Source organism: Homo sapiens, chromosome 7, assembly GCF_000001405.40.
Source record: "Homo sapiens chromosome 7, GRCh38.p14 Primary Assembly".
Taxonomy (NCBI): domain Eukaryota; kingdom Metazoa; phylum Chordata; class Mammalia; order Primates; family Hominidae; genus Homo; species Homo sapiens.
Genome location: NC_000007.14, coordinates 5,859,718 through 5,886,905, shown reverse-complemented (window position 1 = coordinate 5,886,905; position 27,188 = coordinate 5,859,718). Strand labels below are relative to the sequence as shown.

General features: G+C 46.0%; 1 protein-coding gene and 1 pseudogene across 4 annotated transcripts, besides 1 other annotated feature; one reads left to right on the top strand and one right to left on the bottom strand.

Moving 5' to 3' along the window:
• Window positions 1-542: 542 nt before the first annotated feature.
• OCM (oncomodulin) lies at window positions 543-27,188 on the bottom strand. 4 transcript variants are annotated; one of them, NM_001391990.1, is made up of 5 exons: window positions 27,086-27,188; window positions 5,956-6,023; window positions 4,281-4,413; window positions 2,907-3,016; window positions 543-842 (listed from the first exon to the last, which is right to left on the bottom strand). In NM_001391990.1, exons 2-5 carry the CDS (start codon window positions 6,014-6,016, stop codon window positions 817-819), a joined length of 330 nt encoding a protein of 109 aa, NP_001378919.1. In that variant the 5' UTR covers window positions 6,017-6,023; window positions 27,086-27,188; the 3' UTR covers window positions 543-816. The 4 variants fall into 4 exon arrangements, with proteins under 4 accessions (NP_001378919.1, NP_001378920.1, NP_001091091.1 ...); NM_001391991.1 differs by lacking the exon at window positions 5,956-6,023; NM_001097622.2 differs by lacking the exon at window positions 27,086-27,188 and having other exon boundaries at window positions 5,956-6,108.
• On the top strand, window positions 14,856-15,147 carry RN7SL556P (RNA, 7SL, cytoplasmic 556, pseudogene; annotated as a pseudogene).
• Window positions 17,514-17,808: a silencer, noted in NCBI's record as "tiled region #1711; K562 Repressive non-DNase unmatched - State 13:Ctcf". NCBI's record gives its function as "represses a minimal TATA promoter and a strong SV40 promoter by Sharpr-MPRA in K562 cells {active_cell/tissue: K562}" and the evidence as "EXISTENCE:reporter gene assay evidence [ECO:0000049][PMID:27701403]".

Below are 27,188 nucleotides of genomic sequence, written 5' to 3'. Positions count from 1 at the left end.
AACTTTGGGAGGCCAAGGTGGGCGCATCACTTGAGGTCAGGAGTTTGAGACCAGCCTGGCCAACATGGTGAAACTCCAACTCTGCTAAAAATACAAAAATTAGCCGGGTGTGGTGGTGTGCACCTGTAATCCCAGCTACTTGGGAGGCTGAGGTGGGACAATAGCTTGAACTTGGAAGGCAGAGGTTGCAGTGAGCCAAGATTGAGCCACTGCACTCCAGCCTGGGTGACAGAGTGAGACTCTGTCTCAAAAAAAAAAAAAAAAAAAAAAGAGTGATTTTATGCTGGCTAAAATCCCTTCCTATTAATTTCAGTGTCACAAGATTTGCTGAGAAAAATAATAGCTTGACAATGGCATTTATTTGTGACTCTAAAGAAACAACCAAAAACACCCTCCAAAACCTGATTTCCTTGTTTGCTGGACCATAACACCAGTGTGGCCCGCTCCAAGCTTGATGGGACCAGAAATCCTACAAAAAAGCCCTTGGTCCCAGTTTGCTTGAGTGTCGTGCTGAGGAAAAAACACGCCCACACATCAGCAGATGATGAGAAGCCTGTCTTTATTGGGTGATTTTTAGAGGCATTGCCTGTTGGGGGAAGGGGGGCTTACAGAAGTTGTCAGGGCATATACCCACCACCAAGAAAGTCAGGAGTGACTCCCTCGTGACCTCACTAAAACAATGAGCAAACTGCAGAAGGTTTTCAGGGAAAATTAACAAATTAGGTAGGGATGGGATGTGGGGTTCCCCATTCCCAGGGCTTTGGAATCCTTCCAGGTGATTATCCCTTTCTCTCTTTTCTCCAGAGACTGGGGCTTTTAAGAATGCACCATTTCCTGGAATTCTAGAACAGAAGAGGTGAGAACAGGGTCAGTGGAGGTGGCTTGGTTCTTTACAGACGTGCCGTGGCCAATGAGAATTCCAAAGAGGGAAGGAAGCAAAGAAAATTGTCAGATGATGGGCATGGCCCCCTTGGAGGGCACAAAAGAAAGAAAAACTGGCCGGGCACAGTGGCTCATGCCTGTAATCCCAGCACTTTGGGAGGCCGAGGCGGGTGGATCATGACATCATGAGATCGAAACCATCCTGGCCAAAATGGTGAAACCCTGTCTCTACTAAAAATACAAAACTTAGCTCAGCGTTGTGGCACGTGCCTGTAGTCCCAGCTACTTGGGAGGCTGAGGCAGGAGAATCACTTGAACCTGGGAGGCGGAGGTTGCAGTGAGCCGAAATCACGCCATTGCACTCTAGCCTGGGCGAGAGAGCCAGACTCCAACTCAAAAAAAAAAAAAAAGGAAAGAAAGAAAGAAAAAAAAACCCTGGGTATCAATGACTATATCTCGAGGAAGTTCACAGGGTTCCATTTCTCTGAATAATCTTATTTAACAAACATCTTCAGCTTTGCAATAGAGGTCTTTGAATTAGAACTTGTCAAGCCTATCATTTCTCCCTGATAATGCATGAATTCAGTGGAATTACCTGTGACCATCTGTGAACATTTAACTTTTTGTCTGGTCAATTTCAGACAGGAAGGGGAGATTTTCTTTCTCTATTCCGTAGCTGGGTATTGCATTTTTAGGATATATTTGATAGGGTGGGACTTTGAACTGACTTTCCTCCATTGAACCAAACTCCAAACGTTTCTGTTACTAAAAGAAGGATAATAGTAATAATAACAAGGTATGGATGTTACAGATTGATATAAAAAACTGGGGACTTGCTTTATATTTATTGGTAAGCTTTGTTTATTTGGAAATCCTTCATGGTTATGTTTTTTTTTTTCTTTTGAGATAGAGTTTCACTCTTGTTGCCCAGGCTGGAGTGCAATGGTGCCATCTTGGCTCCCTGCAACCTCTGCCTCCCAGGTTCAAGCGATTCTCCTGCCTCAGCTTCCCGAGTAGTTGGGATTACAGGTGCCCACCACCATGACCGGCTAATTTTTTATATTTTCAATAGAGATGGGGTTCACCATGTTGGTCAGTCTAGTCTTGAACTCCCGACTTCAGGGGATCTGCCCACCTTGGCCTCCAAAATTGCTGGGATTATAGGCCTGAGCCACCACGCCCAGCCCCTGGTTATGTTTAAATAAGGCAATCCCCCCTTACCTAATCTGTTTTTATGAGCTATCTATCTGCATTAACTCCCATGTAGTAAGCGATAGTGGTATAATTTTGAACAGGTTTTTTTTTTTTTAATAAGCATCTAACGTAGCAGTTTTAAATTTCAAATTAGCACCACCAGAAGGACCATCATATGTTCTGCTGAGTTGGCAGGCACAAAGCAGTTAAAAAGCACGCTAGCAACATGACAAAATCAAGTGAAAATAGTCCTACAGCTGTGCTAGTGTATTCTAAAGCTCAAACCTAGGATTCGGCCTATGGAAGACTCAATAAATGAGGTTGGCTTATTTGTTCTCTGTTTAATATTATCCCCTTGGCGGGCTAATGTCCAATAAAATATATTTGTCTAAACCCTTGAAGACGAAGAGGGCTTCCTACGCATGCCAATGGACCCTGGTCTGAGGATGTAAATCTTTCCCTTATTCTGAGGGGTTCAAACCCCACTGGTAGAAATACCTCGCGCTTTATGCAGGTGCATTATGGTTGGCAGGTGCAAATAATTGGCCAGGTGGCTAGCTAGTCCCCTAGTCAGGTGAAGGATATTTTGCAGCTCATAGACAATGACCAGTGTGACCAGCTTCTATAGTACCTACCGAGCATTATGCCAGGGTTTTTACACACATCATTTGCATCCTTACTTTAGTCCCATTTTACAGATGAGAAGACTGAGGCTCGGTAAGTTTAAGAAAGGGAGATTTTAAGCCACATTGGTTTGATCTCACAGCCCAAGCCCTCACGGATGCTTCCTGAGCTAGAGTGTTTTATGCTACGTACACGTGTGGACATACCCTCTGCTCCAATTTTCCCATCTCCATCATTATCCGCCGCAGCCATCAAGGACTTGGTTTCTGACTCGGTCAGTTCTCTGGCACCACTCTCAAACTTCTGGAGGAAAAACCTACAGGATAATAAAGATCCATGGGGATTTTCAAAAAGATCATGCATCTCTGTGTTTACACTTTTGTTTTTCCTCTAAGCATATCACCTGTTTCCAGCACCGGCAATAATTAACCAAGGTCTTAGCAAGCAAAGGTTTCCTTAAGCTGTAGAAACCAATGGTGGGCACTTCATTTTTAAGGTTTTGTTTGTTTGTTTGTTTTTGAGACAGGGTCTTGCTCTGTCACCCAGGCTGGAATGCAGTGATACCATCATGGCTCACTGCAGCCTCGACTTCCTGGGCTCAATCAATCCTCCTGCCTCAACCTCCTGAGTAGCTGGGACTACAGGTGCACCCCACCATGCCCCACTAACATTTGTATTTTTTTTTGTAGAGACAAGGTTTTGTCATGTTCCCCAGACTGGTCTGGAACCCCTGGGCTCACTCAAGCAATCCACCCACCTCAGCCTCCCAAAGGGCTGGGATTGTAGGTGTGAGCCACAGTGCCTGGCCCATTTTTAAGTTTTTAGTGTTTTTAATTTTTATTTATTTATTTATTTGAGACAGAGTCTCTCTCTGTCACCCAGGCTGGAGTGCAGCTGCACGATCTGGGCTCACTGCAACCTCTGCCTCCTGACTTCAAGCAATTCTTGTGCTTCAGTCTTCTGAGTAGCTGGAATTACAGGCGTGAGCCACTGCGCTTAGCCAAGTTTTTAGTTTTTTAAAGTCCATTTGCCAAAGGAAATCCCTTACATGAAAGAATCTTTGTGGCTGGGCACAGTGACTCACACCTGTAATCCCAGCACTTTGGGAGGCCAAGGCAGGAGGATCACTTGAAGTCAGGAGTTTGAGACCAGCCTGGCAACATAGTGAAGCCCCATCTCTACTCTAAATATGAAAATGAGCTGGATGTGGTGGCAGGCACCTGTAATCCCAGCCACTTGGGAGACTGAGGCATGAGAATCACTTGAATTTGGAAGGCGGAGGCTGCAGGGAGCTGAGATCACCCCACTGCACTCCAGCCTGGGCAACAGAGTGAGGCCCTGTCTCAAAAAAAAAAAAAAAAAAAAGAATCTTTGCACCTGCAGTCTTCTCTGCCCATATTGAGGGCTTTGCATGGGTAGATGTGCGGTCAACTGACTCATGTCCTTTGCTTTAATGATGCTTGGCCGAATGACCAACACCAAGGCTGGCCATTGAAGAAATACTGAGCAACCTGGCCCCCACTGCACCCCAGGCCCACTCAGCAGTGCCGGGTACCAGACAGACTCAGGACAAAGCTTACTTAAGCTCTTCTTCATCCAGGTACCCGCTCTGGTCGTTGTCTATGAACCGGAAAACATCCTTCACCTGATTGGCTGACATCTTGGAGAGGCCTGATGTCTGGAAGAATTTTTGGGGTTCAAAAGTGTCTGGGTCTGAAGAACAGAGAATTGGTTATTCTGACGCTTGTTGGATCACATTCTATGTTGGGGCCAAGGTACTAAAAACACAGATAATTAAAAACACTTCAACAATATCCCTGAGCTACGGGGATGCTCAACTGGTCCAAGATTTTGGGACAGCCAAGACTTGATGGCTCTGTGATGGCATCCCATGTCCCCTCCGCCCCAGTCTTCCCTCCTCCACTTGGTTTTGTCCATTTTCCTTTTCCCTCCTCATCTCTTCTGTGCCTCCCCCTCCCCCTGGCCCACTTTACAGGCTGTGTGGCTGAGCCCCCAGCATCCCTGGTCTAATTGGTAGGGGGAAATGCAATCACTGGATTTCAACAGGCTAAATGGCCTTTGGCGCTTTTTTTTTTTTTTTTTTTTTTTTTTTTTTTTTTGAGACAGAGTCTCACTCTGTCACCAGGCTGGAGTGCAGTGGCGTGATCTCGGCTCACTGCAACCTCTGCCTCCCGGGTTCAACTGATTCTCCTGCTTCAGCCTCCCAAGTAGCTGAGATTACAGGTGTGCACCCCCATGCCCAGCTCATTTTTGTATTTTTAATAGAGACAGGGTTTTGCCATGCTGGCCAGGTTGGTCTTGAACTCCTGACCTCAAGTGATGCACCGGCCTCGGCCTCCCAAAGTGTTGGGATTACAGGTGTGAGCACGACACCTGGCCTTTCAGTGATGTCTTGCTTTCATGTTTAGTAGGTTTCTTTTGTCTTACAGATGTGTAATCGTGTGCTCAGATCCCAGATCTCTATAATTTTAGTTATCTAATAAATAGCAGTTTTCTTCTCTGATTCCATGAATTTTCCAGCCAACCTCTTATTTATTTATTTATTTATTTATTTAGAGCCAGAGTCTCACTCTGTCGTCCAAGCTGGAGTGCAGTGTAGCGATCATAGCTCACCACAGCCTCAACCTCCTGGGCTTCAGTGATCCTCCTACCTTAGTTTCCAGAGTAGCTGGGACCACAGGCACATGCCACCATGCCCCGCTAGTTTTTATTTTTATTGTTATGTTGTAGAGATGGAGTCTTCCTATGTTGCCCAGGCTGGTCTCAAACTCCTGGGCTCAAACAGTCCTCTCACCTTGGCCTCCAAAAAGTGTTGGGATTACAGATGTGAGCCACCATGCCTGGTCTACTTTTTTTTTTTTTTTTTGTAGACAGAGTCTTGCTCTGTTGCCCAGGCTGGAGTGCAGTGGCATGATCTCAGCTCACTGCAACTTCTGCCTCCCGGGTTCAAGCAATTCTCTGCCTCAGCCTCCCGAGTAGCTGGGATTACAGGCACCCACCACCACGCCCGGTTAATTTTTTTGTATTTTTAGTAGAGATGGGGTTTCACCATCTTGGCCAGGCTGGTCTCGAACTCCTGACCTCGTGATCCACCCGCCTCGGCCTCCCAAAGTGCTGGGATTACAGGTGTGAGCCACTGCGTCTGGCCGCCTGGCCTACATTTTGATTTTGTGTTGACTCGCTGGAGGTGCAAAGCTGTGAGGAAATCCCACCCCCGCCTCACGTCCCCTCTACCTCGGCATTCCTGGAGCGCTGCTGCAATGTCGTCAGCACTGAGCACGTCCGTGATGCTCATTTTCTACCTACTCACACAGAATAAATGAGAGGCGATAAGCCACAAACAGGAATGTGCACATCCAGGGGAAACACATCTTCCCAGGCCCACTGAAACTGTATGTGTGTCTAGATTATTTTTTTTTTTAAATTAAGACGGAGTCTCACTCTGTCACCCAGGCTGGAGTGCAAGAGCGTGATCTCGGCTCACCGCAACCTCCGCCTCCTGGGCTCAAGTGATTCTCCTGCCTAAGCCTTCCCAGTAGCTGGGATTACAGGTGCGCACTACCATGCCTGGCTAATTTTTGTGTTTTTAGTAGAGACGGGGTTTTGCCATGTTGGCCAGGCTGGTCTTGAGCTCCTGACCTCAGGTGATCTGCCTGCCTTGGCCTCACAAAGTGCTGGGATGACAGATGCAAGCCACCGAGCCAGGCCTGTCTAGAATTTTTAAAATGTGATAAGCATGGTTTTGTATTAAGTGACGGGACAGAATATCCAAATTAAAACCAGATACGGAAAACACCCCAGCCTTTTTTGTCTCAGAGCCTTCTTTTGAATACATGCCAAAAATGGAAAAAAAAAATGACCCAAAGAAGGATTCAATTGTTTTCTTATAAAAATTATACTGACATAATCAGTCATTTGCATAGGCAGCCGTAAACCATGTTACACATGCACTGGCATTTTCCTACAGCAGCCCGAGAGATGCAATGTTGCAAATTCCACGTGGGAAAGGATACAGTTTGGGCTGCTTGCAGACATTCTGTGGAAGAAGGCATGCACCTGTCCTGAAAGGTGGGAAGCAGATGGATGAAAAGCCCATCTCCCAGAGATTAAAATCCTTCCAGGTGTCAGAGCCACCGGAAAACAGGAGTCTAAGCACCTGAGCCTAATATGAATGCATGCAGTGAAGAAAAGAGTCTGGGGTCTGATGTGTCCACCAGTTACTCACCGTTTTCGGTTTCCCCCCAGGAAGAATCAGGAAAAAGAGTTGAAGGAGCAAAACAACAGATGTGTTTTTGCTACCTTACTGACCTACCTTATATAGGCTAGAAAAAGTGATAGTTACAACCTCTTAGATTTCCTTTTCAAGGATCAAGTGGATGCAGCTCAAATGTCTTGTCTTACTCATGAAACCTCTTTTTTTTTTTTTTTCTATTTATGTCTCAAGGGAATGTGGGTGGGAACAGCCAATTGTAAAAAAAAAAAAAAAACAACAACAAACTTCAACAAACCTTAACTAAGATTTCAATTCTGCAAACGAACCCTGTTGGCAAAGTGTGGAGAAGGTTCTAGATGCCTGGTAAGGTGGAGATGGTGGCCTGAACTAAGACAAACACATACAGGGTGCTCTGTAAGCTGAAAAGGCTCCCCTGATATTAGCAGGTACCGTTGGAGGCAGGCCTGTTTTCAGCTTTGGGAACTATGGGTGTGTAAGGCTGACCTCAGTCTGGAGTTGACAGACTCAAAGCCATTGTCACCAAGTGCACACACAGGTCTCACCCGGCACAGGAGACAGGGCTAAGTGACGTGACTTTCCTACAAAACTCTTGACTTTGACGTTTCCCAGCTATACCATAAATTGCACACACTCAAAAGGCAAAAAGGAGGAAATCAAACCAGCATCCCCAACCCCCAAAACTAACATGTTCAGAAACAAATATTCTGAGGCTGAGGCCAGGACTAGACACCTCAAGATTTTGTTTCTGTTGTGACAGGGTCTTGCTCTGTTGCCCCGGCTGGAGTGCAGTGGCACGATCTCAGCTCATTGCAGCCTTGACCTCCCAGGCTCAAGCGATCCTCCCACTTCAGTCTCCCGAGTAGCTGGTACTACAGGCACACACCACCATGCCTGGCTAATTTTTTAAATATGCATATTTTTTGGAGAGACAGGGTTTTGACAGGGTTTTGCCATGTTGCCTAGGCTGGTCTCGAACTCCTGGGCTCAAGTAATTCTCCCACCTCATCCTCCTAAAGTGCTGGGATTACAGGAATGAACCACTGCGCCTGGCTTTTTTTTTTTTTTTTTTTTTTTTAACTTTCAGCAAACATTTATTGAGCCTTTATATGGCCAGCACTGTGCTAGACTGTTCTTTTTAATTATTGTGGTAAAACCACATTCCATAAAGTATATAATCTTAACCATTTTTTTTTTTTGTTTTTTGAGATGGAGTCTCAATTCTGTCGCCCAGGCTGGAGTGCAGTGACATGATCTTGGCTCACTGCAAGCTCCGCCTCCTGGGTTCACGCCATTCTCTTGCCTCAGCCTCCTGAGCAGCTGGGACTGCAGGCGCCCGCCACAACACCCGGCTAATTTTTTGTATTTTTTAGTACAGACAGGGTTTCACCGTGTTAGCCAGGATGGTCTTGATCTCCTGACCTCGTGATCCGCCCACCTCGGCCTCCCAAAGTGCTGGGATTACAGGCGTGAGCCACCGCGCCCGGCCAATCTTAACCATTTTTAAGTGTATGTATAGTACAATAGTGTTAACTCTTGGCGCATTATTGAACGAGAGATCTCTATAATTTATTCAGCTGGAAAAACGGAAACTCTGTATCCACTGAGCTGCCACAACTGCCCTGTTCCCCCACCTAGTCCAGCTCCTGGTAAGCATCATTGTACTTTCTGCTTCTACTAGTTTGACTACTGGCCGGGCGCAGTGGCTCATGCCTGTAATCCCAGCACTTTGGGAGGCCGAGGTGGGCAAATCAAGAGGTCAGGAGTTCGAGACCAGCCTGACCAACGTGGTGAAAACCCATCTCTACTAAAAATACAAAAATTAGCTGGGCGTGGTAGCCTGTAATCCCAGCTACTTGGGAGGCTGAGGCAGGAGAATCACTTGAATCTGGGAGTTGGAGGTTGCAGTGAGCCGAGATCACGTCACTGCACTACAGCCTGGGTGACAGAGCGAGATTCCGCCTCAAAAAAAAAAAAGAGTTTGACTGCTTTATCTAGGGACATCATATAAGTGTAATCATATAGTATTTGTCTTTTTCAGACTGGCTTATTTCACTGAGTATAATGTCCTCAAGTTTCATCCATGTTGTGGCATGTGTCAGGATCTCCTTTTTTTTTTTTTTTTTTTTTTTTTGAGATGGAGTCTTGCTCTGTCACCCAGGCTGGAGTGCAGAGGCATGATCTTGGCTCACTACAACCTCCACCTCCCAGGTTCAAGCAATTCTCCTGCCTCAGCCTCCCAAGTAGCTGGGATTACAGGCACATGCTACCACACCTGGGTAATTTTTGCATTTTTAGTAGAGATGAGGGTTTCACCATGTTGGCCAGGCTGGTCTCGAACTCCTGATCTCAAGTGATCCACCTGCCTCGGCCTCCCAAAGTGCTGGGATTACAGATGTGAGCAGCCGGGCCTGGCCTAGGGTCTCCTTTTTAAAAGCTGGATTCATGTTTTTTATTTGTTTGTTTTTCATTTTTATTTTTATTTGTTTTTGAGACAGAGTTTCGCTCTTCGGGCTGGAATGTGGTAGTGTGATCTCGGCTCACTGCAGCCTTGACCTCCTGGGCTCAGGCAATCCTCCCAGCTCAGCCTCCCAGGAGGCTGGGACTATAGGCACACACCACCACACCTGGCTAATTTTTTGTATTTTTTTGGTAGAAACGGGGGCCTCACGATGTTGCCCAGGCTGGTCTCAAACTCCTGGACTCAAGTGATCCACCCTGCTTGGCTTCCCAAAGTGCTGGGATTAAGGCATGAGCCACTGTGCCCAGCCTCAAGTTTTTAAAAAGTGCAAAAATAGATCCCACCTTGCAATCAGAAACATACAGTGGCTTAGAAGTAGACAGTTCAGGCCGGGTGTGGTGGCTCACGCCTGTAATCCCAGCACTTTGGGAGGCCGAGGCAGGCAGATCACCTGAGGTTGGGAGTTCAAGACCAGCCTGACCCACGTGGAGAAACCCCCGTCTCTACTAAAAACATAAAATTAGCCGAGCATGGTGGCGCATGCCTGTAATCTCGGCTACTTGAGAGGCTGAGGCAGGAGAATCGCTTGAACTGGGGAGGTGGAGGTTGCGGTGAGCCGAGATCGCACCATTGCACTCTGGCCTGGGCCACAAGAGCAAAACTCCATCTCAAAAAAAAAAAAAAAAAGAAGTAGACAATTCAGGATACCTAGAGCAGGACCTCAGACTCTTTCCTGGGTAAAACAGTGGGCATCTTCACTTTGCCCCAAATATATTCTCCTACCAGGATGGTATACGCCCTAGTGTCGTCAGTGAACAGTTTCTCTCAGGGATACCTGCAGCCTCTCTTAAATGACCAAACCTCCAGCCGACACCCTACCTCTCATCCACATTTTATTCCCCAGTGCCTAGCCTAGGACTGACCTAGATTTAGGCGCTCAGCAGTGATTTGATGAATGAATAAATAAAAATAGCAAAAAGAAGTTGAAAATACGATTCCCAACCAGCATCACCTCGCCCAGCCCCTTAAAGAAGTTTCTGAAGATTGAGTGTGGTGGCTCATGCCTGTAATCTCAGCACTTTGGGAGGCCAAGGTGGGAGGATTGCTTGAGCCCAGGAGTTTAAGACTAGCCTGGACAACATGACAAGGCCCTGTCTCTACAAAAAAATAATAATCATAAATCAGCCCCTGCCGGGTCCAGTGGCGCACGCCTGTAATCCCAGCACTTTGGGAGGCCGAGGCACGTGGATTACCTGAGGTCAGGAGTTCGAGGCCAGCCTGGCCAACATGGTGAAACTCCGTCTCTACTAAAATACAAAATTAACCCGGCGTGGTGGTGCATGCCTGTAATCCCAGCTACTCTGGAGGCTGAGTCAGGAGGATCACTTAGAACCTGGGAGGTGGAGGTTGCAGTGAGCTGAGATCATGCCACTGCCCTCCAGCCTGGGTGACAGAGCAAGACTCTGTCTCGGAAAAAAAAATAATAATAATCAGCTAGGCATGGTGGCGCATGCCTGTGGTGCCGGCTGCTCAGTAGGCTGAGGTGGGAAGATTGATTGAGGCTGGGAAGTAACGGCTGCTGCAAGTTACAATTGCACCACTGCACTCCAGCCTGGGCGACACAGTGAGACCTTGTCTCAGGAAAAAAAAAAAAAAGGTTTCTGAAAATAAGTCTTAAGAGTTTTGAATTAGGTTTCTGACATTAAGTTGCCATAGAAACTAGCTGAGCCCTTTCTTTTTCTTTGGGAGTGTTTACAATTGTCCATAGAGATAAAACATTTTTTAAAAATCTGCTCATTTAAATCCAAGTAGCATATGGGTTAAACCAAGATACTTTTTATGTTCATGCTATTTTTCTGATAGAAAATAAAGATACCAGAGACCAGGCCAGGAGTGGTGGCTCATGCCTATAATCCCAGCACTTTGGGAGGCCGAGATGGGAAGATTGCTTGGGCCCAGGAATTCGAGACCAGCCAGGGTGATGTAGTGACACTCCCATTCTCTGTAGAAAAATATTATATTTATTTAAATTTTAAAAAGAACATATTCAGTGAACATGTTTTCTGAATCAATGAGGCGCTTAAGATGATAACTTGAATTCCATTATGTGCAATCTGAGCATCAAATATTGATTCAGGCCGGGCGCCGTGGCTTACACCTGTAATCCCAGCACTTTGGCAGGCTGAGGTGGGCAGATCACCTGAGGTCCGGAGTTCGAGACCAGTCTGGCCAACGTGGCGAAACGCTGTCTCTACTAAAAATACAAAAAAATTATCTGGGCATGGTGGTGGGTGTCTGTAATCCCAGCTACTTGGGAGGCTGGGGCAGGAGAATTGCTTGAACCCGGGAGGTGGAGGTTGCAGTGAGCCAAGTTTGTGCCACTACATTCCAGCCTGGATGACAGAGCAAGACTCCGTCTCAAAAAAAAAAAAAATACATATATATATATATAGATATAGATATAGATTCACACAGAGATATTGTATAATTCCAGTAATATGAGGTACCTAGAATATTCAAATTGACAGAGACAGACAGAATGGTGGTTAGCAGGGCTGGGTGGAGTGAGTGTTTAATGGGGACAGAGTTTCAGATTGGGAAGATGAGAAAGTTCTGGAGATGGATGGTGGTGACAGTTGCACAATGTGAATATATTTAATGCCACTGAACTTTAAAGGGTTAAGATGGGTTGGGTGCGGCGGTGCACGTCTGCAATCCCAGCGCTTTGGAAGGCTGAGGCGTGAAAATTGCTTGAAGCCAGGAGTTTGAGACCAGCCTGGGTTACAAAGCACTACCCCGTCTCTACAAAAAATAAAAAAAATTAGCCAGACATGGTTGCGTGCACCTATGGTCCCAGCTACTCGGGAGGCTGAGGTGGGAGGATCACTTAAGCCCAGGAGTTTGAGGCTGCAGTGAGCTGTGATCACACCACTGCACTCCAGCCTGGTTAACAGAGTGAGACCCTGTCTCTCCAAAGAAAAAAAAAGAAAATTATTAAGATGGTAAATTTCATATTATGTATTTTATGTTGCATATCATGCTATGCATCTGACATATGTTGCATATGCATAATGATATGTTGTTTATATTTGCATATTTATGTAATGTAATGTATATGTATATCATGTATATGTATATATTAACCATTTTTAAACAGTGATTCAGTAGTCTTCATTATTTTGGCCACCAATTCCTAATTGCTCCCAGGAAAGAATAGGAGGAAGATGTGGAAATAGATCTTTTTTTTTTTTTTTTTTTTTTTTTTTTTTGAGACAGAGTCTCGCTCTGTCACCCAGGCTGGAATGTAGTGGTGCGATCTCGGCTCACTGCAACCTCCACCTCCGAGGTTCACGAGATTCTTCTGCCTCAGCCTCCCGAGTAGCTGGGATTACAGGTGCCCACCACCATGACTGGCTAATTTTTTTTTTTTTTTATTTTTAGTAGAGATGGGGTTTCACCATGTTGGCCAGGCTGGTCTCCAACTCCTGACCTCAAGTAGTCCGCCCCCCTCAGCCTCCCAAAGTGCTGTGATTACAGGTGTGAGCCACCGCGCCCAGCCTGGCTGCCCTTGTGGAGACAAAACTCTTGAATGTATGGGAGATCCTCCTTCCATCATGCATGATGGGCTAGTTGAGAGCACCGTGGACCCACTTTCATGTTCTCTCAACAGACATCACTTCCTAAACATCTCTCAACTTCATCTTCTCTTCATGGGCCACCGTCACTACCCTAGCCCAAGCCACCAGCATCTCTTTTGGGAATGGAAACAACTGTGGTGGCCTCCTAACCTTTCTCCACTCGGGGTCACCTCCAACCTAGCCAGGTGGGTTTTGAAAAAACCCAAGGATGGCTGGACTCGGTGGCTCATGCCTGTAATCCCAACATTCTGGGAGGCTGAGGCAGGAGCATTGCTTGAGCCCAGAAGTTTGAGACCAGCCTGGGTCACATGGCAAGAACCCATCTCTACAAAAAATGAAAATAACTAAATAATTATCCAGGCTCCTGGGCTTGAGCAGTCCTCCTGCCTCAATCTCCTGAGTAGGTGGGACTACAGGCATGTACCACCACCCCAGGCTAATTTTTAAATTAAATTAAATTAAAAAAAAATTTTTTTTGAGATGGAGTTTTGCTCTTGTTGCCCAGTCTGGAGTGCAATGGCAAGATCTAGGCTCACTGCGACCTCTACCTCCCAGATTCAAGCGATTCTCCTGCCTCATCCTCCCAAGTAGCTTGGATTTACAGGTGTGCGCCACCATACCCTGCGAATTTTTTGTAGTTTTAGTAGAGACAGGGTTTTACCATGTTGGTCAAGCTGGTCTTGAACTCCTGACCTCAAGTAATCCACCTGCCTCGGCCTCCCAAAATGCTGGGATTACAGGTATGAGCCACTGTGCCTGGCCTTAATTTTTTAATTTAGTTTTTGTAGATTCAGGGTCTGGCTCTGTCATGCAAGCTGGAGTGCAATGATGCGATTGTGGTTCACTGCAGCCTTGACCTCCTGGGCTCAAGCCATCCTCCCTTCTTGGCCTCCCAAAGTGCTGGCATTACAGGTGTGAGCCACCGTGCCCAGCCCCATCATCCATTTTTTTTCACATTTTAATTATTATTATTTTCAGTATTTATTGATCATTCTTGGGTGTTTCTCGGAGAGGGGGATGTGGCAGGGTCATAGGATAATAGTGGAGAGAAGGTCAGCAGATAAACACGTGAACAAAGGTCTCTGGTTTTCCTAGGCAGAGGACCCTGCGGCCTTCGGCAGTGTTTGTGTCCCTGGGTACTTGAGATTAGGGAGTGGTGATGACTCTTAACGCGCATGCTGCCTTCTAGCATCTGTGTAACAAAGCACATCTTGCCCCATCATCCATTTTTATCTTCGGTCTTTCATTGGCACATTCCTTGTCACCGGGTAACTATTCAATGAACACATTTGTGCATTGAATGAACTGGCTCTCTGAATCTGAGTTTCTGCATCCAGCTGTCTCTGTGTGGTGACGTGGGGGATGGGGTGGGATCCAGAGTTACAAGAATGTTTATTTATAAATGAGATACTTCTCTACAAGTGGATTTCCTTTCCCACTCACAGACTGAGCAATAATTGGTTAAATAAGTTTACACACAGGGGTTTGGGACAAGCTCCTTCGTGAGACGAAGTGACTGCTGTTTACAAATGAAGACCGTGAAGTGTCTTAGGGCTGCGTGAAAAGGACAGCTTGTGTGTTTCCCGATGAAATGAATGAATAACAAGGATGGGGGATCCCCAGGAACACACAGACCCCGTCTATAAGAGCTGACCTCTCCTGGGTTTACAGCTTTGATTACCCACGGGCCAGGGCAAAATGCATCCCTTGTGACCTACGATAGGTGTGGAAATGGCACAAGTCCCCTAATTACCGCTGGCGCCGTAATCTGTGGGCTCCGGTACGCAGTGAAAATGCAAGTCCTGCCGGGCGCAGTGGCTGGTGTCTGTAGTTCCAGCTACTCGGGAGGCCGAGGCAGGAGGATTGCTTGAACCCGGGAGCTCTGGGCAGCAGGGCGCTCTGCCGATTGGGTGTCTCCACTAAGTTTGGCATCAATATGGTGACCTCCTGGGTGCAGGGAACCATCAGGTTGCCTAAGGAGGGTGAACCAGCCCAGGCTGGCAACGGAGCAAGTCAAAACTCCTGTGCTGATCAGTAGTGGGATTATGCTTGTGAATAGCCACTGCACTCCAGCCTGGGCAACATAGTAAGACCCCACCCCTAAAAAAAAAAAGAAAGAAAAAAGGAAATCCAAGTCCTCTTGTTCAAAGAATTTCACTATGGGGGCCTCAGTGGATGCAATCAAGTGTGCAGGCTTTCTAAGTGCAGGACCCTGAAGACTACAGGTCTCACACCCATGAAGCCTGCCCTGCTCACAACAGGTGTGTGCAACATTGCCCAGTTCACGAATATGATGTCGTGTCATTTAACCATGGCAACAACTCTGAAATATTATTATCCCCGTGATGAAAAAGGGAGAGATATCCCAGGTCAGGCAGGGTGAGATGGCTCAAGCCTATAATCTCAGCACTTTGGGAGGTTTGCCTTGAAGCCAGGAGTTTAAGACCAGCCTAGGCAACAGAGTGAGACCCCTACCTCTTTAATTTTTTTTTTTTTTTTTGAGACAAGGACTCACTCTGTCACCCAGGCTTGAGTGCTGTGGTTCAATCATGGCTCACTGCAGCCTCTGCCTCCTGGGCTCAAGTGATCCTCCCACCTCAGCCTCCCAAGTAGCTGTGACTATGGGCACACGCCGCCATACCCAGCTAATTTATTTTATTTTTTGTAGAGACGGGGGGGGGGCTCTCACTATGTTGCCCAGGCTGGTCTCAAATGCCTGGGCTCAAGCCATCCTCCCGCTTTGGCCTCCCAAACTGCTGGGATTACAGGTGTGAGCCACTGCGCCTGGCTTTCTGGGCATTTTAATTTGTGGATCACCATGACTGTTATCCCAGCTACTGGCGAGGAGGCTGAGGCGGGAGAATCACTTGAACCCGGAAGGTGGAGGTTGCGGTGAGCTGAGATCATGCCATTGCACTCCAGCCTGGGCAACAAGAGCGAAACTCAGTCTAAAAAAAAAAAGATACTCATCAATTAGCGTGATATTTACAAGAATTTCATGTGGTAGTTGTGACAGTTAATTTTGTATGTCAATTTGAGTGGGCCATGGGGTGCCCAGATTAAACATTGGCCAAGACTGCATACTTATGCTAACATGTGTTAAACCTCTGTGCTGACATGTCAAGCACTTCTGTACTCAGCAAAGCAGCAAACATTTTCCACAAGATACCTCACTGCTCAGAACATTAAGGCAGCTATTGATGCTCCTATTTTACAGATGAAGATAAACTACATTTCAGAGATTAGATGGCCAGAATGTACCAGCCTTCAGATGTGTGCTGAAATCTCTGGTTCCCTGCTTTTCCTACACGGCCTGGAGTAATGGCTTATTTTGTAAGACACAGAGCACAGAACCCCAGTGAGAAGAAATTATGAATAAGGACTTGTTCTGGCCCCAGCCAATGGACAGGATGCTATGAGAATGCATAAAGAATTCTGCAAAGGCTGAGGGCAGTGGCTCACGCCTGTAATCCTGGCACTTTGGGAGGCTGAGGCAGGGAGGATGGCTTGAGCCCAGGGGTTTGAGACCAGATTGGGCAACATAGTGGGACTCTATCGCTACAAAAAAATTTAAAAATTAGCCAGGCGGGGTGGTACGAGCCTGTGGTCCCAGCTATTCAGGAGCCTGAGGTGGGAGGATGGATGGCTTCAGCCTGGGAGATCAAGGCTGCAGTGAGCCATGATCATACCACTGCACTCCAGCCTGGGTGACAGAGCTTTTATTATTTATTATAAAATAATAAAATAAAATAAAATAAAAAATGATTCTGCAAATGTCAGCCTACTCCTCTGCCCAAAATATATAATAACGAAGAAAACAAAGCAAAGATGTCACAGCTATGGTTTTGTTGCTATGAGAATACTCTTGTCAAGGCTGGAGGATGGCGCAAACATACTGTATTTAACCGCTTGTCAGTTTCACTTGCAATTCACACACGTGGCGCGTGGGCCTCTGTGCTCTTGTCCTGGGTCAGCCAATGTCAGGGGCGGGAGCAAGGGTATGAATGCTTCAAGAAGGAAGGATGGACCCGGCAAGTTGAGTGCTTCCGAGAGGTTAGGATGAGGCTGCCAGGGCAAGCACGTGCGGATTATGGGCAGGGCGGTGAGTTGTTGCTGGGTAGTGCAGAAGAAGCTGTTCTGGGGTAACGCAGGTGGGAGCAGGTAGGAGGGGACTGGAGAAGGGTGCAGGTGGGAATGAGATCATAGGGGAGGATACAGTGCTGCAGGAAATATATTTTTTAAATTTTTAAATTTTCTTTTTTAGATGGAATCTCTGTTGCCATGGCTGGAGTGCAGTGGTGCCATCTCGGCTCACTGCAACCTCCACCTCCTGGGTTCAAGTGATTCTTCTGTCTCACCCTCCTGAGTAGCGGGGACTACAGGCACACACCACCATGCCTGGATAATTTTTGTATTTTCAGTAGAGACAGGGTTTCACCATGTTGGTCAGGCTGGTCTCGACCTCCTGACCTCAAGTGATCCACCTGCCTCGGCCTCCCAAAGTGCTGGGATTACAGCCATGAGCCACCGTGCCCAGCCAGAGCTGCAGGAAATATTTTAAGACTCCAGCTGCCAATGGCCTTGGGGAAGGGGTATGTTCACAGGTGTGTCTAGGAGGGCCTGGCACCCCCTCGTGGGGAACACTCATGCTTCCTGAGTTCCTCTCTTCTCTCTTTTATTCCTGAAGCTTTCTGTCAGTACTGTATTCAGAATACCAATGGTATGAAGTCAGCCTAGCTATGTGGAACTTTGGACTCAGTCCTTTTTGTTTTGTTTTGTTTTGTTTGTTTTTGAGACAGAGTCTCACTCTGTTGCCCAGGCTGGAGTACAATGGCGCGATCTCAGCTCACTGCAACCTCTGCCTCCCGGGTACAAGCAATTCTCCCATCTCAGCCTCCCAAGTAGCTGGGATTACAGGCGGACACCACTATGCCTGGCTAAGTTTTGTATTTTTAGTAGACACAGGGTTTCACCATGTTAGCCAGGCTGGTTTCGAACTCCTGACCTCAGGTGATCCACCTGACTTGGCCTCCCAAAGTGCTGGGATTATAGGCATCAGCCACCGTGCTCGGCCTGGACTCAGTAGCATGAGTACTGGTCTGACTTTCTGGGTAGCCCAGAGCTGTTATGGGTGTCAGACTTCACGTTCCCAGTGCCTTCTAACTGACCCTCAAAGGAAGACAGAAGCTACATCATTTCTTATTGAAATGCTGCAGGAGAGGACAATTCCTTAAAATTATCTGAGAGACTACTGGCTATGTCTTTTTTCCCCCTCACTCTTAGACACTTGCTCTAAATTACTCAGTGAAACTGATGGCAAAATCCCTTTAGACCTTTGGCTGGCTGTGTCTTCGTGAGCTCACTAGAGCATTGTTGGGGGAAGAAAAGGCTGAAATAAAGATGGGAGTGGCCGGGCGCGGTGGCTCACACCTGTAATCCCAGCACTTTGGGAGGCCAATGTGGGAGACCATTTGAGGCCAGGAGTTCAAGACCAGCCTGAGCAACATAGTGAGACCCCCATCTCTACAAAAATTAAAAAGTTCTCCTGGGTGTGGTGGTGCATGCCTGTGACTCCAGCTACTCAGGAGGTTGAGGCAGGAGAATCGCTTGAGCCCAGGTGGTTGAGGTTGTAGTGAGCTGTGATCTTGCCACTGCATTCCAGCCTTGGTAGGCCCTGTCTCCAAAAAAACAAAACAAAACAATAGCGACAACAAAACACAGTGAAGCTAGAGAAGAAAAATACACTGGATGGGATTAGCAAATTAGACACCGAAGAAAAAAAGAGTAATGAGTTTGAAAACATAGCAATGGAAAAGATGCCGGGTGCGGTGGCTCACTCCTGTAATCCCAGAACTTGGGGAGGCTGAGGTGGGTGGATCACTAGAGCTCAGGAGTTTGAGACCAGCCTGGACAACATGGTGGAACCCCATCTCTACAAAAAAATTTTAAAAAGTAGCCAGGTGTGGTGGTCCCAGCTACCGGGGAGGATCACCTGGGCCCAGGAGGTCAAGGCTGCAGTGAACCAAGATTGTGCCACTGCACTCCAGCCTGGGCAACATAGCAAGACCCCATCTTAGAAAAAACAACCCCCCAAAACAGAACCAGTCCCCTCCCAAACACCCCCACATCACAATAGAAAAGATACAAGCTGAAACACAGAGAGAAACAATTCTGGAAGAAATAAAACCAGACATCAGTGAGCTACTGGACAACTTCAAGTGGCCTAATATACATGTAATTGGAGTCTCAGAGAAAAGGAGAAAGAGGAGGGACCAGAAAAATATTTGAAGAAATAATGGCAGAAAATTTTCCACATTGGATGAAAGCAGGCTCAAGAAGCTCAATGAACCTCCAGAAAAAATAAGAGGAGGAAAAAGGAGGAGGAGGAAGAGCCAACACGTATAAAGGGCGCATTATTATAAAATTGTTTAAAACCAGTGATAAAGAGAAGATGAAGGTCATAAAGGCAGCCAGAAAAAAGAGACACAATATGTTCAGAGGAACAAAGAAAAGATTGACATCAGACTTCTCTTCTTTTTTTTTGAGATGGGGTCTTGCTATGTTGCCCAGGCTTGTCTTGAACTCCTGGGCCCAAGCGATCCTCCTGAGTAGGTGGGATTACAGGTGCACGCCACTGCACCGAGTGACATCAGACTTCTGATCAGAAACAATGCAGGCCAGAAGGCAAGGAGGAATTTTTTTTAAAGAACTGCAAGGAAAATGAACAAACAAACTATTGTGGATGGACACAAAGATTTTGCTTCTCTTAGCAATTGGAAATCACCTCAACGTCCAATGTGCAGGGATTTGTTAATTGATGGGCCATAAAAAATAAAAGGATAGTCTACAAGTCTACTTAATGATATGGAAAAATATCCACCACATATTGTAAAGTGAAACAGGCACTACGTTAAATGTATTTTGTAAATTGGAAAATATATATTTATAGACACAGGACGGCGGTTATAGGGACTGGACCTTACACAATTGTGGGAGCGGGTTACATGGTAACCAGTGCCAACCTCCACCCTCCACAGATATGTCTTCTTGCTCACAATAAACTGGAACTAGACAGGGAGGGGAAATTTAGGAAATGCAGTCCCAGTTTTGCTAAATTGACACAATATGTATCCACCACATATCAGTAAAAGACTACAGAGAAATTCACCCAAATGGTTTTAGCAGTTATTACTGGGAGTTGAGTGAGTTTAAATTCTCAGTACACAGGTCAGATGTCAGAAAATCAAACAACACATTTGGTTTTTTAATATAATAAGTCAACGAAATTTTCACTCCAATCCCTCCCATCCTATCAAGGAGGCAGGAAATTCAACATCCTTCCTTCCCTCCCTCCCTCCTTTCCTAACTTCCTTTTCTTTCTTCTTCCCTCCCTCCCTCCCTTCCTTCTTCCCTCCTTGTCTTCCCCCTCCCTCCTTCTCTCCCCCCCTTCCTTCTTTCCTTCCTCTCTTCCTCCTTTCCTCCCTCCCTTCCTCCTTTCCTCCCTCCCTCTCCCCCCCACTCCTTCCTTCTGTCCTTCATCTCACTCTGTTGCCCAGGCTGGAGTGCAGTGGCACACTCATAGCTCAGTGTCACCTTGAACTCCTGGGCTCAATGGCTCCTTCTCACCTCAACCTCTAAAGTACCTGGGACTACAGGCACACACCACCAGAACCAGCTAATTAAATTTTTTTTTTTTGTAGAGACTGGGGTTTTGCTATGTTGCCCAGGCTGGTGTTCAGCTCCTAGCCTCAAGTAATCCTCCTCCTTCAGCCTCCCCAGACACTAGGATTGCAGGCACGAGCCAGTGCACCCAGCAGAAAAATACTGGACTTTTGTACAAATACCTATGCTATTCATGAATAGCCCTTAAACTGCCCTGAAATTATGGGACTGAAGTGATTAAAATCTTTATCCAAATGAAGACAACTCTGTTATTATCAAGAGTGCGGCATATTTGACCTACATCTAGATGTGTATATGCATTTTCTTTTCCGAAAATGAATAAAAGAACAAAAGATTTCAGTATTGTTGTTACCTATGTATTAAATGCACAGTTAAACTCACTGTCTCTAAATGCACAGGGTATGTGTTGCCCAAGCCCAGGACAGTTCTCTGGGACTTCCAGGTCGCAGCTGAGCATGTTTCATTTCCTGAATTTAGTGTTCTCCCATCGCTAGAGGTGATTCATGTTCATTAATTAGGTTGGTGCAAAAGTTATTGTGGTTTTTGCATTATTGCAACTGTAATATAATTTTGCAATTATAACTTTTGCACCAGCCTAATAAAAAAACACCTTGGCTGACAAGCTATGGGAATGGGATGGCCACCATAAATGACCTTCACGGTGTTCTAAAAAGCAGTGGCTTCCAGTTCAGAAGCGGTTTGCTGCCCTCTGTCTAATGAGTTGGGGTTCTCTTTCTCCTCCACTTTCTAGGGTTTTGATGCCTCTTAGCGTCACCATCTCTCATTTGGGGAGCAATTATGAATCGTTAGTAAAAGCTCAACTTTTTTAAGAAGCAAAACCAGGAAGAAAATTCAGCATGTCCTGGTTTTCTAGACGGCATCCTCAAAGACCACACCCAGGCGCTTAATAATTTAGCCTTTTGGGCAAAGTTCTCATTAGAATAGATCAAAAACATGAATAATGCAGGCATTTGCAAATCACACTACTCGTCGGCCCCGACGCTGGCCAGGAAACACCTGAAGCAGTTGCAGTGGGGCTCAGGGTGACTGGATCGGGTGACTGGGTCATGATGACAACAAATTTGGTTAATGGGAATCCCAGGTCATATCCGATGGTATCAAACTACAGCTGCTGCCCGCTGTCTTCCACAGGTCTTTCAAGTCAAATGTCTCATGCCAGTCAAAATTCCTGCCAGGAAATCACACTCTATTTCCCTAGTTCTTTTTTTTTTTGAGAGGGAGTTTCACTCTTGTTGCCCAGGCTGGAGTGTAATGGTGCGATGTCGGCTCACTGCAACCTCCGCCTCCCGGGTTCAAGCAATTCTCCTGCCTCAGTTTCTCAAGTAGCTGGGATTGCAGGCACGCACCACCACGCCCGGCTAATTTTGTATTTTTAGTAGAGATGGGGTTGCTGGTCTCAAACTCCCAACCTCAGGTGATCCGCCTGGCTTGGCCTCCCAAAGTGCTGGGATTACAGGTGTGAGCCACGGTGCCCGGCCTATTTGATTTATTCTAATGAGAACTTTGCCCAAAAGGCTTAATTATTAAGTGCCTGGGTGTGGTCTTTGAGGATGCCGTCTAGAAAACCAGGACATGCTGAATTTTCTTGCTGGTTTTGCATCTTAAAAAAGTTGAGCTTTTACTAACGATTCATAATTGCTCCCCAAATGAGAGATGGTGACGCTAAGAGGCATCAAAACCCTAGAACGTGGAGGAGAAAAGAGAACCCCAACTCATTAGACAGAGGGCAGCAAACCCCTTCTGAACTGGAAGCCACTGCTTTTTAGAACACCGTGAAGGTCATTCTTCCTTTTTTTTTTTTTTTGAGACAAGGTCTCCCCCTGTCACCCAGGCTGGAGTGCAGTGGTGCGATCACAGCTCACCGCAGCCTCAACCTCCTGGGCTCAAGTGATTTCCCCTACCATAGCATCCCCCCCAACCAGGAGCTGGGACCACAGGCATGCACCACCATGCCTGGCTAATGCTTTATTTTTTGTAGAGACGGGATCTCATCATGTTGCCCAGGCTGGTCTTGCACTCATGGGCTCAAGCGACCCTCCTGCCTCAGCCTCCTAAAGTGCCGGGATTTCAGGTGTGAGCCACAGCACCTGGCCCCCTCTTTGCCCCCCTTGTTCCCCAGATCATTCTTGCATTCCTGATCTCCTTCTCAAACCCCAACATGTCTTCATCCTCAGCAGATGACCTTGCCTTCTCCTTAACTGAGAAAATACTAACGACCAGAGGAGAGTGTCCCCAGGTTCCCTAGACAACATCGGCCCTCTCCCAGCCTCTGCATCCACTCACTCTGCCTTCCTGCCTTAGCTATAACATGAACCATCAGGCCGGGTACAGTGGCTCACGCCTGTAATTCCAGCACTTTGCGACGCCGAGTCAGGCAGATCATGAGGTCAGGAGTTTGAGACCAGCATGGCCAACATGGTGAAACCCCATCTCTACTAAAAATACAAAAAATTAGCTGGGCGTGGTGGTGCGCACCTGTAATCCCAGCTACCTGGAAGGCTGATGCAGGAGAATCGCTTGAACCCAGGAGGTGGAGGTTGCAGTGAGCTGAGATCATGTCATTGCACTCCAGCCTGGGTGACAGAGCAAGACTCCATCTTGAGAAAAAAAAAAAAAAAATGAACCATCCACATCCTATCTAAAGCCAGCCCCTCAGCCATCTAAACTGGATTCCATTCCTGCCACCCTCTCAAGCACGTCACTCCACGTACTCCCTCTTCCCTCTCCTGTGCCATCAATTTCTCTCTCCCTAATAGATCTTTCCCATTAACATAATATTAACCGAAAAAGGGAATGAGTCATGAGTCCCCATTGACTGAGGTTGATGCAGCAGTTTGAGGACACGCCCGGGAGGAACATCAGCCACAGGAGCATCTGTGACCTGTGAGTTTCCAAAGAGGGTTTGGGAACTTCACTATTTAAAGGGGAAAGAGCAAGCAGGAGGGATAAAGGAAGGGAGGGTAGGCAGAGAGGCAAATGGTCCCATTCTCCCAAGGCTCTGATTAGCGATCAATAAATCTACATTTTACATGTCAATGAGGCATTCCTCTCCAGCTCAGGAAATCTACATTTTACATAAGGTAAAGTAAATATGTGAAAAAAGGAGTAAAGAGTCCATGATGCATTCATCTTGAGCTCAGTAAATCTACATTTTACATAAGATAAACGTATGAAAAGAGGGAGTAGAGGAGTCCATGTTGCATTCATCTCAAGCCCAGTAAATCTACATTTTACATAAGATAAACATGAAAAGAGGGAGTAAAGAGTCCATGATGCATTCATCTTGAGCTCAGTAAATCCACATTTTACATAGGATAAACATGTGAAAAGAGTAGAGGAGTCCATGATGCATTCATCTTGAGCTCAGTAGATCTACATTTTACGCAAGATAAAGTAAACTTGAAAAGGAGTAGAGTCTGTGATGCATTCATCCTAAGCCCAGTGAATCCACATTTTACATAAGATAAACGTGAAAAGAGGGAGTAAAGAGTTTATGCTGCATTCATCTTGAGCTCAGTAAATCTGCATTTTACATAACATAAAGTAAACATGAAAAGAGGGAGTAGGGGAATAGGGCCATGCTGCATTTATCTCAGGGTAGGTGGAAGGATGATTTACGATCTTGTCCTTGTCCTATCCATGTGAAAATAAGCTGGTAATCGACATTGTCAGTGTGAGATTTAACAGAACTTGCTTTTAGGGCTAGTTTATAGGGGGAGATGTATCCTGAAAGAATTAGGGGCTCACTTTGTGAGCAACTTGTGAGGGAGCCATCTGGGAAGATACGTAACGTTCTGTCTTGGTGGGCACCTGGCTTATGCATGAGGCTAGAACATGGGGTTATGAAAATACAGCTCTCCATTTGGGAACAAAAGGGAAGGCAGTATTGCATGACTCAGTTTCCAAGCTTGACTTTCTCTTTGGCATAGTGAGTTTGGGGTCCTGAGAATTTACCTTCTTTCACAATACAAACATGCTGGTGTATGGATCCTGTCTTTAAAACGAACTTTCAGTATGGATGGCAAACGAGCACATGAAAAGATGCTTAACGTTATTCATCATTAGAGAATGCAGATTAAAGCCACTGTGAGGGCCCAGGGGCACACGCCTGCAGTTCCACCCACTCAGGAGGCTGACGCAGGAGGATCACTTGAGCTCAGGAGTTTGAGGCTGTAGTGTGCAATGTTCGTGCCTGTGAACAGCCACTGTACTCTAGCCTGGGTAACATAGCAAGACCCTGTCTCTAAAAAAATTTTTTTAAATTAAAAAGTAGGCCGAGTGTGGTGGCTGATGCTTGCAATTTCAATGCTTTGGGAGGCCGAGGCGGTAGGATCACTTGAGCCCAGGGGTTTGAGACCAGCCTGGGCAACATAGTGAGACCCTGTCTCTAACAACAACAACAAATTATAAATAAATAAATAAATAAAACCACAATGAGATGCCAATACACATTAATGAAAATGTCCAAAATGAGGAGGGCTGACCCATGCCAAGCACTGGTGAGAGAGGAACTGGAACCCTCCTTCCCTGCTAAACTCACTTTCCTCTGAATAAGAAATGCATTACCCAAGTACTGAGCAACTCTCTTGGCTCTCCTTCCGCTCTTCAACATGTTTTCCTTCCTGAATGTAAATTTCCTTTGGAAAACACAGTGGAAGTGTCTATCACATGACCCAACTGGTTCTATTCCAACTTCCTCCCCAAGAACTGGGATTCTTTTTTTTTTTTTAAGACAGAATTTCGTTCTTGTTGCCCAGGCTGGAGTGCAATGGTGCGATCTCAGCTCACTTCAACCTCCGCCTCCTGGGTTCAAGCCATTTTCTTGCCTCAGCCTCCCAAGTAGCTGGGATTACAGGCACGCAGCACCAAGCCCGGCTAATTTTGTATTTTTAGTAGAGATGGGGTTTCACCGTGTTGGCCAGGCTGGTCTCGAACTCCTGACCTCAGGTGATCTGCCTACTTCAGCCTCTCAAAGTGCTGGGATTACAGGCGTGAGCCACCGCACTGCACTCGGCCAGAACTGGGATTCTTAAAGCACATCTCCCTCCCATCCTGCTAAAAACCAGCAACAACTATAACCACCACCACCTGTGGCACACACATTTGGTGTCAGCATTAGCGAGCCACCTCCAGGCTACCCCATTTGAGGACTTCTTGCCAAGAAGTTCTCCAGCAGTTTTCACCCAAAACCTGTTCTTGCTGTTTTTGCTCTCTGGCCAACTCTGTGGTCACTAAATCAATGTTTCACTTTTTCAGCAGGAACAACAATAAATAAATAAATATATATATGTATATGTATATGTATGTGTATATATGTGTGTGTGTATATATATGTATGTGTGTATGTGTGTATATATATGTATATATACACGTATATATACGAATATATATATACGTATATATGTGTATATATACGTGAATATATACACGTATATATACACGTATATATACGTAATAATATATACACACGTATATATACACGTATATATACGTAATATATATACACACGTATATATACACGTATATATACGTAATATATATACACACGTATATATACACGTATATATACGTAATATATATACACACGTATATATACACGTATATATACGTAATATATATACACACGTATATATACACGTATATATACGTAATATATATATACACGTATATATACACGTATATATACGTAATAATATACATACACGTATATATACACGCATATATACGTAATATATATATACGTATATATACACGTATATATACCTAATGATATATATATATATATGCATATATATATACACACACACACATACGGAGAGCCCCAAACTGCTTAGGCATGTGTGAAATGCTATAGCAGAAAAGAAACAAAATGGTATAGGACGCTGATTTTTTCATGAACAAGAAATGTGAGCGGCTCCGTCTCAACTTACGGATGAGCTGGAGGCAACATTTAATGAAGACTTAAGTGAGTTAATTAAGGAGAAATTGCAACTAAACCCCACATAATGAGAGAGCTGGCATCTCTCGCTCCAGGGTCCCATATTTTTATCTGTCTTCACTTGTCCATGATGTGGGTTCTCTTTGTGGGGGGGGTCTCCTTGTATTGGGCAGACATCCCCATGAGATTCAGAACCCAGGAAAAACCATCCAATAAAAAAACACTGGCTGGGCGCGGTGGCTCACACCTCTAATCCCAGCACTTTGAGAGGCCAAGGCAGGTGGATCACCTAAGATCAGGAGTTCAAGACCAGCCTGGCCAACATGGTAAAACCCTGTCTCTAGTAAAAATACAAAAATTATAGGCGGGCGCCTGTAATCCCAGCTACTCACGAGGCTGAGGCAGGAGAATCGCTTGAACCCGGGAGGCGGAGGTTGCAGTGAGCTGAGATCACGCCATTGCACTCCAGCCTGGACAACAAGAACGAAACTGTCT